Source organism: Homo sapiens, chromosome 11, assembly GCF_000001405.40.
Source record: "Homo sapiens chromosome 11, GRCh38.p14 Primary Assembly".
Taxonomy (NCBI): Eukaryota; Metazoa; Chordata; class Mammalia; order Primates; family Hominidae; genus Homo; species Homo sapiens.
In genome coordinates, this window is record NC_000011.10 from 76,798,538 (window position 1) to 76,811,086 (window position 12,549).

At 50.1% G+C, this 12,549-nt stretch overlaps 4 annotated features.

Annotated features, from left to right (window-relative positions):
* Positions 642–901: a silencer, noted in NCBI's record as "silent region_3790". NCBI's record gives its function as "represses an Ori minimal core promoter by ATAC-STARR-seq in GM12878 lymphoblastoid cells {active_cell/tissue: GM12878}" and the evidence as "EXISTENCE:reporter gene assay evidence [ECO:0000049][PMID:35858748]".
* Positions 8,828–8,877: an enhancer, noted in NCBI's record as "active region_5300". NCBI's record gives its function as "activates an Ori minimal core promoter by ATAC-STARR-seq in GM12878 lymphoblastoid cells {active_cell/tissue: GM12878}" and the evidence as "EXISTENCE:reporter gene assay evidence [ECO:0000049][PMID:35858748]".
* Positions 8,958–9,007: an enhancer, noted in NCBI's record as "active region_5301". NCBI's record gives its function as "activates an Ori minimal core promoter by ATAC-STARR-seq in GM12878 lymphoblastoid cells {active_cell/tissue: GM12878}" and the evidence as "EXISTENCE:reporter gene assay evidence [ECO:0000049][PMID:35858748]".
* Positions 11,929–12,018: an enhancer, noted in NCBI's record as "active region_5302". NCBI's record gives its function as "activates an Ori minimal core promoter by ATAC-STARR-seq in GM12878 lymphoblastoid cells {active_cell/tissue: GM12878}" and the evidence as "EXISTENCE:reporter gene assay evidence [ECO:0000049][PMID:35858748]".

A 12,549-nucleotide genomic window follows, 5' to 3' on the forward strand; every position in this document is an offset into this window, starting at 1 on the left:
AACTGCAACAGTATTTTGTTCTTCCTTGGTGCTTCAGCTGCTATGGTACCCCAGCTCCTGTTTGCACACTTCCACTGACAGAGATCACACTTGGAGCTCATCTGGGTGGCTCTGCTGTCACCAAGTTCTTCCTTCTAACTGGCCAGTCTACAGGGAATGTCTACCATCATCACCAATGACAGGTTTTTCCTGATCCCTACTCTGTGCCCAGAACATTCAGGCCATATGCACTGGTGGGAGCTTGCCCATCTTGTAATCAGGCCTCCCCAGGGAGAAGTATCAGCTTGAGGCCCTGGGTCCGAGGCTGGCACCCAGCGGTCAAGGTAGGAAAGAGCTGAGGCTTGGCGCCGGGCGGTGTGGAGGAGAGGGAGGTCAGGGTGAGACCCCGGGCCCCCACAGTCCTCCTGTTTGTTCTCCACTTCCCCTACATTTCCTGGGACAGGAGAGGATTCAGATGGAGGTAGGGATCACGGTACTTTCACCCAATGGGTCCGGGTCTTCCCAAGTCCCCGCTTGTGGAAGGAGTCCTTGCGGGAGGGCCATGGAACAAAAAGGCCTTAAAGACAGGGCCAAAGCGTGCGGAGGGCAGCGAAGGGAAGGAGGGGGCTTCTGCGGCAATCAGTTCTGGAGCAGGTCACCTCCGCCCGAGCTGCAGCTTCCTCCTCTGCAAAACGGGGCAGGGTGAAGGCCCAGTGAGAGCATGGGCGCGGATGCCATCACGCTGGGCGGGCTCGTCCTTCCCGTGGGGAACCTGCCCTGCACCCCGCAGCCCTGGCCTCCTGCCAGCCATAAGGAGAGCGGAAGCCCCGGCGGGCCTCGCCGACCCGGGAGTCCGCGCGGCCCCTCCCTGCCCGTGCGGAGGCTCCCGGCCCGCAGCGCCACCTCGTGCTCACGCATGGCCAGACACCCCAGATCCCAGCGGGGCCAAGAGCCAGGACCGGGGCGGCTGGAGGCCAAAGTGGGCTGCGCTGTTTGCTTTATGCGGCCAGTCCCTTCCCGCCCACCAGACTACCCTCGCCCTGCCGGACTCCGCCCTCCAGGAACCCTGGCGCCCAGGGCGAGGGCTTCGAATCTTACACAATCAGGAAAATTCGTGCAAAGAATCCGTTTTGGAATTCACAGAAAAGGGTTGAAATCTTGGGGTCATCACTAACCAATTGTGTGATTTTTGGCCAGGTCACTTTACTTCTCTGAGCCTGGAAAATAGGGATGAAAATATCTCCCTCAAGGCCGGGCACGATGGCTCCTGCCTGTAATCCCAGCACTTTGGGAGGCTGAGGCAGGAGGATCGCTTGAGCTCAGGAATTCAAGACTAAGACCAGCCTGGGCAACATAATTTAAAAATCTAAAAATTAACCGGGCATGGTGACGCCTGTAGTCCCAGCTACTTGGGAGGCTGAAGTGGGAGGATAGCTTGAGCCTGGGAGGTTGGATGACAGAGTTAGACCCTGTTTAAAAAAAAAAAAAAAAAAAGCAAAGAGAGAAAAATAAAAATAAAAGAAAGACAAAAAAGAAAGAGAAACAAACAAAGAAAGAGAAAATACCTCCCTGAGCCTGGGAGGTTGAGGCTGCCGTGAGCCGAGATTCTACCACTGCACTCCAGCCTGAGTGACAGAGCTAGACCCTGGAAAAAAAAAAGAACGAAGGAAGGGAGGGAGGGAGAGAGAAAGGAAGAAAAGAAAGAAAGAGCAAAAAAGGAAGAAGGAAAGAAGGAAAGAAGGAAGGGAGGGAGGGAGGGAGGGAGGGAGGGAAAATATCTCCCTCCACAGGACTGTGTGTAGAAGAAATGAAGTAACATTTGTAGAGAACCAAGTACGGTGCCTGGCACAAAATGGCAGCCTCTAAGTGCTCTTTCCCGCCCTCATCCAACCATGGAGTTATGAAGTAGATTACAGAGCCATGTAGTCTGAGTCTGTTTTTTATAACTCGCACTCAGAACTGAAGAATTTTGTAAAGTTCTGGGACTGTAGAATCACAGAACGACACCCGGTAATCCACAGGGTCATGGAGTAGGTACTCACCGTCAGCTGTGGCCCAGCTCACCACCATGGGTCAGCAGGGTCACCAGCCTCTTTATGCCTTTCACAGTAATGCAGCGGCCAGCTATGGCTATGTGTTCCTCATGCTTTGTGTACATGCCATCATCTCCTCACAACTGCACCAGGTGTTTTTGTCACCATACAGATGAGGAAACCAGCATAGGCCAGGCTTTATCTGTCAGGTGGCAATTCTCACATTCTTCCTTGTCCTACCCCAGGGGCCGGGCCAGCTGTGTAAATCCCATGAATCAGAGAGGGTAGAGGTGCACTGATAAACCAAAAAGCACTGGGATTCCATTTATTTTTTATTTTCAAATAAGTTGCAGAAGTTATGCAGTTCTACATAGCTCCGATCAGACTGTGGATTCTAGATCTTAGAGTATAAAAAGCCAAAGGTCAAAGTCAAAGTCCTTTCTCTCCTGGCCCCTTTTCACGGATGGGGAATCTGAGGCCCAGAGACGAGTAAGTTCCCATGGTCCATGGCCAGGATTCTGTGCTTCAGAACGGCCTATGTAATTTGTGGGACCCAGTATAAAATGAAAATGTGGGGCCCCTTGTTCAAAGTTATTAGGATTTCAAGATGACAAGAACAGAGCATTAAACCAAGCACAGGGTCTTTCTATGGTTTCACTGCCCATGAAGCCAGCCCTGCTGCCATTTGATCATCTCATTTCTAGAGGAGGGGCAAACACCCAGACAGTGTTGGTCAGGATGGCAGAAGAGAGTAGGTGTGGATTTGTGTGTAATCCAATCCCTCTGTAGTTCAGGGAGCCAGTTAGACTCTTCCAAATGCAGGAATGTCCCTCTGTCGTTATCACACAACCCCCTGGTTTCCCCACCTTGCCATGGCCAAAAGGCTTTCAGAGGGAAAAGGCAGCTAAAGAGGTGGATTCTACCACCCAGCTGCCACCAAACCAGCTCATGGGCTGTTTCTCTGGACTGCCAGGAATATGGGGGGGCAGAGGCCTGCCCCTTGCTCACTTTATGTGCTTACAGAATTTAAAGTCCACCAGCGCTAAAGCCCACTCATACCTAATCTCCACCAAGGGCACTGTCTATGACAACAGAGGTCATCATAGGCTAATAGGACCTTGCCCATCAATGTTCAGTGTTCCTTGTTGGCTAACGTTCACCAGGGTGCAAATGTTGGTTGATATATAATGTTTATCATATGAATGACAGCTTCCACCAATGACCAATATCCACAAAGGGAAAATGTCTGTTGGAGGCAGTGTCTGCTGTATATCAGTGCCCAGTGTTCACTGGTAGCTAATTGCAATTATACTTGCTCTGTGCATCAATACCCAATGTCAGTCCATAGCTCGGCTTCTAACGACAGCAAATGTCTATCCAGTTAAGTCACATGCCCTGTGTTTATTCTTCTCTTTATTTATTTAAGTACTAGTGGTTCTGTCTACAGGGATTATTGTGTTTGTTGAGCTTGGAGGGAAATTCCCCCTGTGTTTATTCTTTAGTTCCCAAACCTATTTATTATTTTCTTTTGCATATCCATTAGATAGTCAAAGTGTTCTGAACTGGAGGTACAAACACATTCATGTTTCTTTTTGTCTCCCTTCCCTCCCTCCCTCCCTCCCTCCCTTTCTTTCTTTCTTTCTATCTCTCTCTCTCTCTCTTTCTCTCTCTCTCTCTCTCTTTCTTTTTTCAGGGTCTTATTCTGTCACCCAGGCTGGAGTGCAGTGGCGTGATCATAGCTCACTGTAGCCAATCTCCCATGCACAAGCAAGCCTCTTGCCTCAGCCTCCTGAGTAGCTGGGACTACAGGCATACGTCACCATGCTCAGCTAATTTTTTAATTTTTAGTAGAAAAGGTCTGGTCTTGAACTCCTGAGCTCAAGAAATCCTCCCACCTCAGCCTCCCAAAGCGTTGAGATTACATGTGCAAGCCACTGTGCCCTGCCATGTTTCTTAATATATGCACATATGTATATGTAACACATAAATAATTACATACATAATACAGGAAGACACAGAAATAATTACATACATGATACAGGAAGACACAGAAAAAGAGAAACTGGTCTGATACCAGAAGTATCAACTCAGGAACAATTTTCTACTAGCTGAGCCTCAGAAGCAGCAACTTTTCCAAAGTGAAGTGATGAATGGAGGCGCCAGCCCTCCTCCTCAGGTTAAGAAAGGCAAAGAGCCCTGCTTTTGGCTGTAAAAAGCCAGGTTCCCTAATCAGGTGAAGGCCTGAGGCAGGGACTCCTTAGGGCAGTGTAACTAGTAGCCAAGGCACAGGCTCCAAAGGGAGGTTGCCTGGGCTCAAGCCCGGCTCTGCCACTCACAGCTGGGTGTCCCGGGGTGAGCCTCTCAGCCCCTCGTTCAGCCTCAGTTCCACATGTGTAAATGGAGGTCTAGTAGCTACCTCACAGGGCAGTTGTTGAAAATAAGCTAATGCTCCTAAAACCCTGAGAACAGTGCTCTGTGTATGATAAGTGTTCATAGACGTCACATTATTTATTTATTTTGAAAATTCTTCTTTTAGTCAAACTTATAAGTTTTCTGTGGCTCAAAATATTCTCAACCAGGGTTTCTTTAGTGGCCATCAGCTCCCAGGGGGTGATATCATGGAAGCTGTTATGCTTAGGAATTTGTTTAAAAAGACGTCCTGCCCTGTGCCCCAGTACATTTCAACACCACCCAGCCACACAGCCGCCTTCTGGCCCAACACTCTTAAAGACACAGTGCTTGGGAAATGTCCTCATGCCCCTTTCCTGAGGCAGGTTTGCCACTGTTTCCCCAGGCCTGGCAGTCACAGATGGCAGTCACTGACCTGCTGTGATTTGAGAGATGGAGAGAAAACCTTCCACTCTTCTTATTCTCCCTAATAGCCTCAGTCTCTGCCTTCAGTTCCACATTTCCCTTTGGCGTAAGCTATGATTGTCGTCCAAGGCCCCTCCTAGATAGGCAAGGACTCATGATACCAAGAGTGTGATCAGGGGATAGAGATGAGATGTCTGGGTTGGATGCGGGAGTGGGGTATTTTCTAACTAATGGGGTGCAAGGGGTACCTGAGCATGCTCTCAAAATGTGTTATACCCTAAAAAATGTTTTTAAGGTAGTGTGTTGATATAACAGTTGTTAAGACCATGATGCTAGAGGCAAGATCGTGAGATCCATAGAGAAGGTAGTTGAAGGGTAGGGCCTTTTATTCACATATATGCTGCCTTCTCCACCAACTGATGTGATATCCTTTTATATTCGTGACTCCAGTGAACCCACGCCTCTGAGGATTTACACCCTTGTATTTGTACTCCTCTTGAGTCTGGGCTGGCCTGTGACTTTAATCAGTGCAATGCAGAAGTGGTTCAGTGCCAGTTCTAAGACTACAAAGAGAAAGAAAAGTTCAACCTTCCAATATCCCAGCAGACATCAGGCCCCAGCTGTGTCACCAGCTTCACGCCCACGAGTGACCACAACAAACCCAGCAGAACCAACCAGCGCATCCCAGCCCTGGTTGCAGAATCATGAGTAAATAAAATGGTTGCTGTTCTAAGCCATCGTGCTTTGGAGTGGTTTCTTATATGTCAGTAGATGACTGAAACAACCAAAGCCACAGCCTCCGCCTCCCCCAGCCCCATTCCCCCACTCCTCCCCACTTGCTAACCTCCATGAAGCCCTGGGACTTGGGCAGCTGAAGGTGCAGAAAAGATGCCAAATGAAAAAGCCACCCTCCTTGACAACAACCCAGCTGAGGGGAGCAGGCAGAGAGGGGCGGTTGAAGGAAGCACGCTGCCTGGTGTTTGAAAGCATATGAGGGGCTGCCCTGAGCGCATCTCCTTACATTCTTGTCTCAAGACCACCCAGCAGGCATGGCCCCTCCAGGTAACCTTGCACTCTCCTCCCGGACCCCTCCCCAGTCCCCAGACAAACCCACCTCTCCCTCCTGGACTCTCCATGGGTCCCTTCTCCCCACCTGCCACTGGGATCAGGAAGAATAAAGACCTGAACTCACTGTCTTGTTTTTTGTTGTTGTTGTTTGCTTGTTTTTTGAGATGGAGTCTTGCTCTGGCACCAGGCTGGAGAGCAGTGGCACGATCTGGGCTCACTGCAACCTCCGCCTCCTGGGTTCAAGTGATTCTTCTGCCTCAGCCTCCTGAGTAGCTGGGACTACAGGAACGTGACACCAAGCCCAACTAATTTTTGTATTTTTAGTAGAGACGGGGTTTCACCATGTTGGCCAGGATGGTCTGGATCTCTTGACCTTGTGATCTACCCGCCTCAGCCTCCCAAAGTGCTGGGATTATAGGCGTGAGCCACTGTGCCCGGATTTTTTTTTTTTTTTTAAAGACAGAGTTTGCTCTTCTTTCCCAGGCTGGAGTGCAATGGCATGATTTCAGCTCAATGCTACCTCTGCCTCCGGGGTTCAAGCGATTCTCCTGTTTCAGCCTCCCAAGTAGCTGAGATTACAGGCACCCGCCACCACACCCGGCTATTTCTGTATTTTTAGTAGAGATGGGGGTTTCACCATGTTGGCCAGGCTGGTCTCGAACTCCTGACCTCAGGTGATCCACCCGCTTCAGCCTCCCAAAGTGCTGGGATTACAGGCATGAGCCACCACGCCAGGCTCACTGTCCTGTTTCCATCGGACCAAGGGACTCCCAAGAGGGGAACTGAGGCTAAATGAGGCCAGTCACTGTGTGGGGGCAGGTGGAAGCTGCTCAGAGGGGAGGAGGTGGAGGGGACAGACCAGCACTCCCAGAGGACCCTGGGAAAGGTGTAGCTTTTGGGCGCTTCCCGCAGACTGTGGGCAAAGTCATACTTAGTGCAAGCTTTAAATACTCTCCCCACACACAGACACAAACACTGTCATTCCTGGACTTGCCCCACCCACCGGTAACATTCGACATCCTGCTCAGACACGTGAGGCTGGTGGGGAGGGGACAGAATGGGTGCATGCTGGGCATGTGGGAGTGAGTCTGGATTCTAAACAGACCTCAGAAGTGACTACACAGACATCCTTTGCTAACATGTTCTAAAGAAGGGTGACCTCAAGGATAGAGGAGGAGAGGGGGAGGAATGAATGCTTCCCTGTCCTCGCACCCACCAGCCTGATTAGCTCCCACTCATCCCTCCTACCTCAGCTGCCATGCCACCTCTTCTGGGAAGCCCTCCCTAACCACCTCCCCTCATCCTACGACAGGCAAAGTTAGACGTTCCTCCTCTGTGCCAGCCCAGTACCTGGTCTTGCCTTCAGAGTGATGCTCATCATATTTACTTTGTGTTTATTTTTCCAGCTTCCACTCATCCCCAGAGGCAGGAACTGTTCCTGCCTTGCTCCCCACAGGGTCCATATCACCTAGGCTGGTGCCCAGCACATAGTTGGTTGTCGATTCATATCTGTAGGATTAATAAATGGGTCTGTTATATCCGTTTTACTGATGGTGAAATGAAGGACCAGAGAGAGTAAGTGGCCTTTCCAAGGCTTCACAGCAAGCTTGTGGAAGAAACCACCAAGAAACCAGCTCTTGAGACTTCCAGCATTTGTTCCAGTTCCTCTGCAAGGGAAACCCCCATTCCCTGCTCTCTCTTTTTCCCCTCCTCACAGGCAGCAGGTATGTGCACAGACAGGCCTGGAGCTGGGCTAGGGTAGGAGTCCCCTGTGAGGCTCCACCTCTGCCTCTCCAGCTCCTTGGCCGGGACCCACTTCTGCTCCAACTCTTGCTGGCCATTAAGTCTGTGCCCCGCCTCACTCAGCCCGCCGCAGCCCCACTGCCTGTGGAGAGGTGAGTCCCACCTCTCTGAGCCTGCTCCCTTCCCCAGCCATAAGACGAATCAGCCTAGGAGATTCTGAGGCTCCTTCAGCCAGGAGGGCCTGTGATGCCCTGTGAAGACGGAAGAGGCTGGGGCCAGCTCCATGCTGCCTGCAGCGTGGCTCAAAGCACAAGCCTTCACCAAACATCAGAAAGGCCCAGAAATCTCATTTTTTCCCAAATGTTCCAGAATTTGACTTCAATGTCACATACTTTTAAAACTTCCCCGTGTGTGGGGAGAGGGTAGGGAGTCTTAGTTTTCAGTTTTTCAAAACAAGCAAATCCAGATGATCTTACTGCATAATCAGGTTTGGGCCACACTTTAAAGTTGACATGGATCTTCCATTTCATACCACACCTCATTTGCTCTGTGCAGCCTTCCTGTGAGGACAGCAGGGCAGGGCTTAGAATCAGCCCATTTCACAGTCAAGGAAAACGATGTCCAGACAGTAGGTGGCAGGGCCTGGGACTTACACTCAGAGGCCCTGTCCCAAATTATGTCTGCTTCCTGCTCTCCACAGAGTGATTTGAGTTGAAAGGAGAAAAAAAAGAAAGAAAAAGAAAGAAAGAAAGAAATTAAGGAAGGAGTGGGAAGGAAGGAAGGAAAGGAGAGGGAAGGGAGGGAAGGAGGGAAGGAAGGGAGGGAAGGAGGGAAGGAATGAAGGAAGGAAGGAAGGAAGGAAGGAAGGAAGGAAGGACAGAGAGAGAGAGAAGGAAGAAAAGAAAGAAGAAAAAAAGGTTGCGTATAATAACTTGATTGGTAGACCTGCCGGAGGAGCCTGCTTAGCCCTGGCAGGAGGCTAAGTCATTTGGTGGGAAGCCCTTTCTCTAGGGGATGGGGTGAGAGATGACAAGAATAATAAAACTCTGAGACAAAGCCAACAGCATGCTGAGTGACTCAAAGGATTAGGGCAGCCCAGGGAGTAGGCCCCTGGGTCTCAGCGTGCAGGATTTGTCCCCACATACACGTGAAAGCCATGTGTTTGGCAGAGACACCACAGTCCTAGCCATGGGGCATCCAGAGATGGACTAGAGCCAGCCCTGGCCCCAGTGGCTTTCCATCCCATGGGAGAGTCGAATGACTGCAATACAAGGTGAAAAGTGACTGCATAGGCAGGGCACGAGCTTGAGTTCCCATCTGACAAGAGGGGCAAACTAGGTGAAAACTTGCAAGAATGGAGTTGCGGGCGGAGTGTGTTGCAGGTCTCCAACTTGTCACGGAGTTTGTGCCCACCAGAGGGCGCTGCCTTAGACACTCCCGTTCCTTTCTCCGCCCGCCCATTGCTCCCTTTCTCCCTGCCCTGTGCCGGGCTTGTCGCTCTATACACAGGCCGGGGGTTAGAGGGGTCCCCACAAGAGGAAAGCGAAGGGCAAGCTCAGACGCAGAAGTCTGATGAGCAGCGGTTTTCAGCAGCCACCAAGGACTCCACTTTCACATCTTCCCCTCCGATAAAAGAACTTTCAACCTGGTGTTTTATAGAATTTAAAAAATAATGTTTATTCAGCAGGCCGGGCCTGGTGGCTCATGCCTGTAATCCCAGAACTTCTGGAGGCTGAGATGGGAGAATTGCTTTAGTCCAGGAGTTCGAGACCAGCCCGGACAACATAGTGAGACCCTGTCTCTAAAATAAATAAATAAATATTTTTTAAAAAGTAAAATAAAATTCAATAAATAGTTTAGAGGGTCTCCTGTGTCCAGACCCAAAGACAAGTACTGGGGAAAGAGCCATGACCACAGACCACCTTGGTCCCTGCTGTCATGGAGGTGGTCATCTACGGGGAGGGCCAACAGTAAATGGGTGCCTGGGCATCTAAGTAAGTGAGGAGATGGTGAATGCTACAAAGAGGGCAAATTGGAGCACAGTAGAGGTGACGGGGGTGCCGGCAGAGGTAACGCGGTTGGGTGCTACTCTCACGTTTGAGCTGAGACTTAAAAGAAGGGAGGAAGCCAACCCTGCGGGGACCTGAGGAACCTTTTCCAAGGGAGGAAATCTCGGTGCAAAGACCTCAAGGAGTGAGTGAGCTTGGCACACTCAGGAAGGACGCGAGGCTGGCCGGGGCTTGATGGGAGAATTGAGGGCAGCGAGGCTGGCTGGATAGACCACTGTCAGTGCTGCGGATTTTACTCCAGTCACAGCAGGAAGCCAATTAGAGGCCTTTAGACAGAGGTGACACAGGCTCTGGGGACACTTTACAAAGATTGCCCTGGCTGTGAGTGCCAGAGCAGAAGCAGAGAGATCCATTAGGAAGTCCTTGCCATAAACCAGGAAGGAGATGAGAGTGACTTGATGGTAGCAGTGGAGATAGGAAGAAATGTAGGAATTTGGGTCTGTTTTAAAATAAAAATAAAACTTGCCGATGAAATGACAGGTTATTCGGTGCCAGGCGCTGAGATGTACACTTTGTGTGTATTGACTTATTCATTCTCGCTATATATAAAGCTGTTTTACAGAGGAGAAAATGGAAGCTCAGGGAGGTTAAGTAATTTGCCCAAGGTCCCATAGCCGATAAGTGACAGATTCTACATTTTAAAAACGAGTCTGTCGATTCCAGAGCCCACAAACAGACTGCTCAATGCAGAGAATGGGAAGCAAAAGATTAGACATACAGAATCAGAAATGGAATCCCAGAGTGCTAGTCCAACAACTTTGACGCAGGCTTCAGCCCAGACCAGAGACTTGTCTCAACTGTTTGGTTGTTCTCTTGGCCAAGGACAGCTGCCCTGGGATCCAAAAGCTCATCAGAGAAAGCTCCCAAGAGCTCAAGTCTGCATTCTTCCCCTCCTTGGGTAACCCACTCATGGTCACCCAGCCAGTTTAAATCCTGGGTCCTCTGACCTTCCTGTCCAGGCCTCCTCCCTATCCCCACAGAGCCCGCTCAGCACAGGGTAAGACCAAGAACATCACGTGGCCACTGCTCACGTCAGATGAGAGCATGGCATATTCCCCTCCTGAGTTCTTGGCTTTTTAACACGGACCTCAGAGCTTTAACTAAAAGTATTTGACTATGCATCCAGGTGCTGTGGCTCATGCCTGTAATCCCAGCACTTTAGGAGACCGAGGCCAGTGGATCACTTGAGATCGGGAATTCAAGAGCAGCCTGGCCAACATGGTGAAACCCCATCTCTACTAAAAGAACAAAAAATACAAAAAAAAATAGCAAGCCTGTAATCCCAGCTATTTGGGAGACTGAGGCAGGAGAATTGCTTGAACCCAGGAGGCAGAGAGAGGCTGCAGTGAGCTGAGATCACACCACTGCACTCCAGCCTGGGCGACAGAGGGAGACTCCATCTCAAAAAATAAAAAATAAAAATAAAAAAAATTGGCCGGGCGCGGTGGCTCACGCCTGTAATCCCAGCACTTTGGGAGGCTGAGGCGGGCAGATCACAAGGTCAGGAGATCAAGACCATCCTGGCTAACACGGTGAAACCCCATCTCTACTAAAAATACAAAAAATTAGCCGGGTGTGGTGGTGGATGCCTGTAGTCCCAGCTACTCGGGAGGCTGAGGCAGGAGAATGGCATGAACCCGGGAGGCGGAGCTTGCAGTAAGCCGAGATCGCGCCACTGCACTCCAGCCTGGGCAACAGAACGAGACTCTGTCTCAAAAACAAACAAAAAAATTGATTATGTGGAGGCACCCAGGCATAAAGGTAGGTCAGCAGGGAAGGTATTTTGCTCCTCAAATTGGGGTGGCAGAGAGCTGGGGTACCTTGAATTCAATCATTCCTACCATGTTCAAGCTGCGTCACAGAAGCGTGGGACATGAACACTGTTTACAACCCATTTCTAACAAGCTCAGAGCCTGCTGAAAGAGTTACCAAGGTAATCAGCTGGAGCCCCCGTCACAGGGCCTGGCACACTGAGGGGTTCCTTCCTCCGCTCCCTGAGGCTGGGGTTCAGGGAGCACATCCCAGGACATGACGCCGTGTCGGTTTTGACTGGTCAGTACTGGTGCGATGCTAGTGTCAGTCCTTTGGCTTTCTCTGCCCGCTACATGTTAGGTCTAATCCATCCCAAGTTAGGATTGGGTCATTATTTCATTGGCACTCAGCAGGGGGCGCTGATAAAACAATTTAATTCAAAGTGTAGCCAGAAATTATGGAGGAAAAGAAACTAAAAGTAACAATCATAAAATGAGTAATTCCTGTCTACCTGAATGGCATGTAATGTTTCAAAGCAACTGGATGTCCCAGATATGTTTGATCTTCACAAAAACCTAGTGAGGAAGTTGCATTGTTAACACTGTCCGCTCTCCGCTCCCTGTAAAAATGAGGACAGAGAGGAAAGGAGAACCCTGTCCCTGCTCCTTGGCCTGGTGAGAGTGGGTCACTGGGAAGACACCAGGAAGGAGGCCAGGAGGCAGGAGTGTTACTGGTAGAGGGTGTGCAGGTTCTTGGCATCTTGAACAGAGAATTGGACAAAACGCACAAAGCAAAGAAAAAGAATGAAGCAACAAAAGCAGAGATTTATTGAAAACAAAAGTACACACCACACAGGGTGGGAGTGGCCCAAGCATAGGGGTTGAAGAGCCCCATTACAGAATTTCCTGGGGTCTAAATACCCTCTAGAGGTTTCCATTGGATACTCGGTGTATGCCCTATGTAAATGGAGAGGATATTCCCTGTCATAGCTGAAGTGTTTCCATTTGATTCACTTCTAGGAAGTCCAGCATGAATTGGCCTTAGGTTCCCTGCCTCCAGACCATATTCTCCTGCCTTATTTCTCCCCTGAG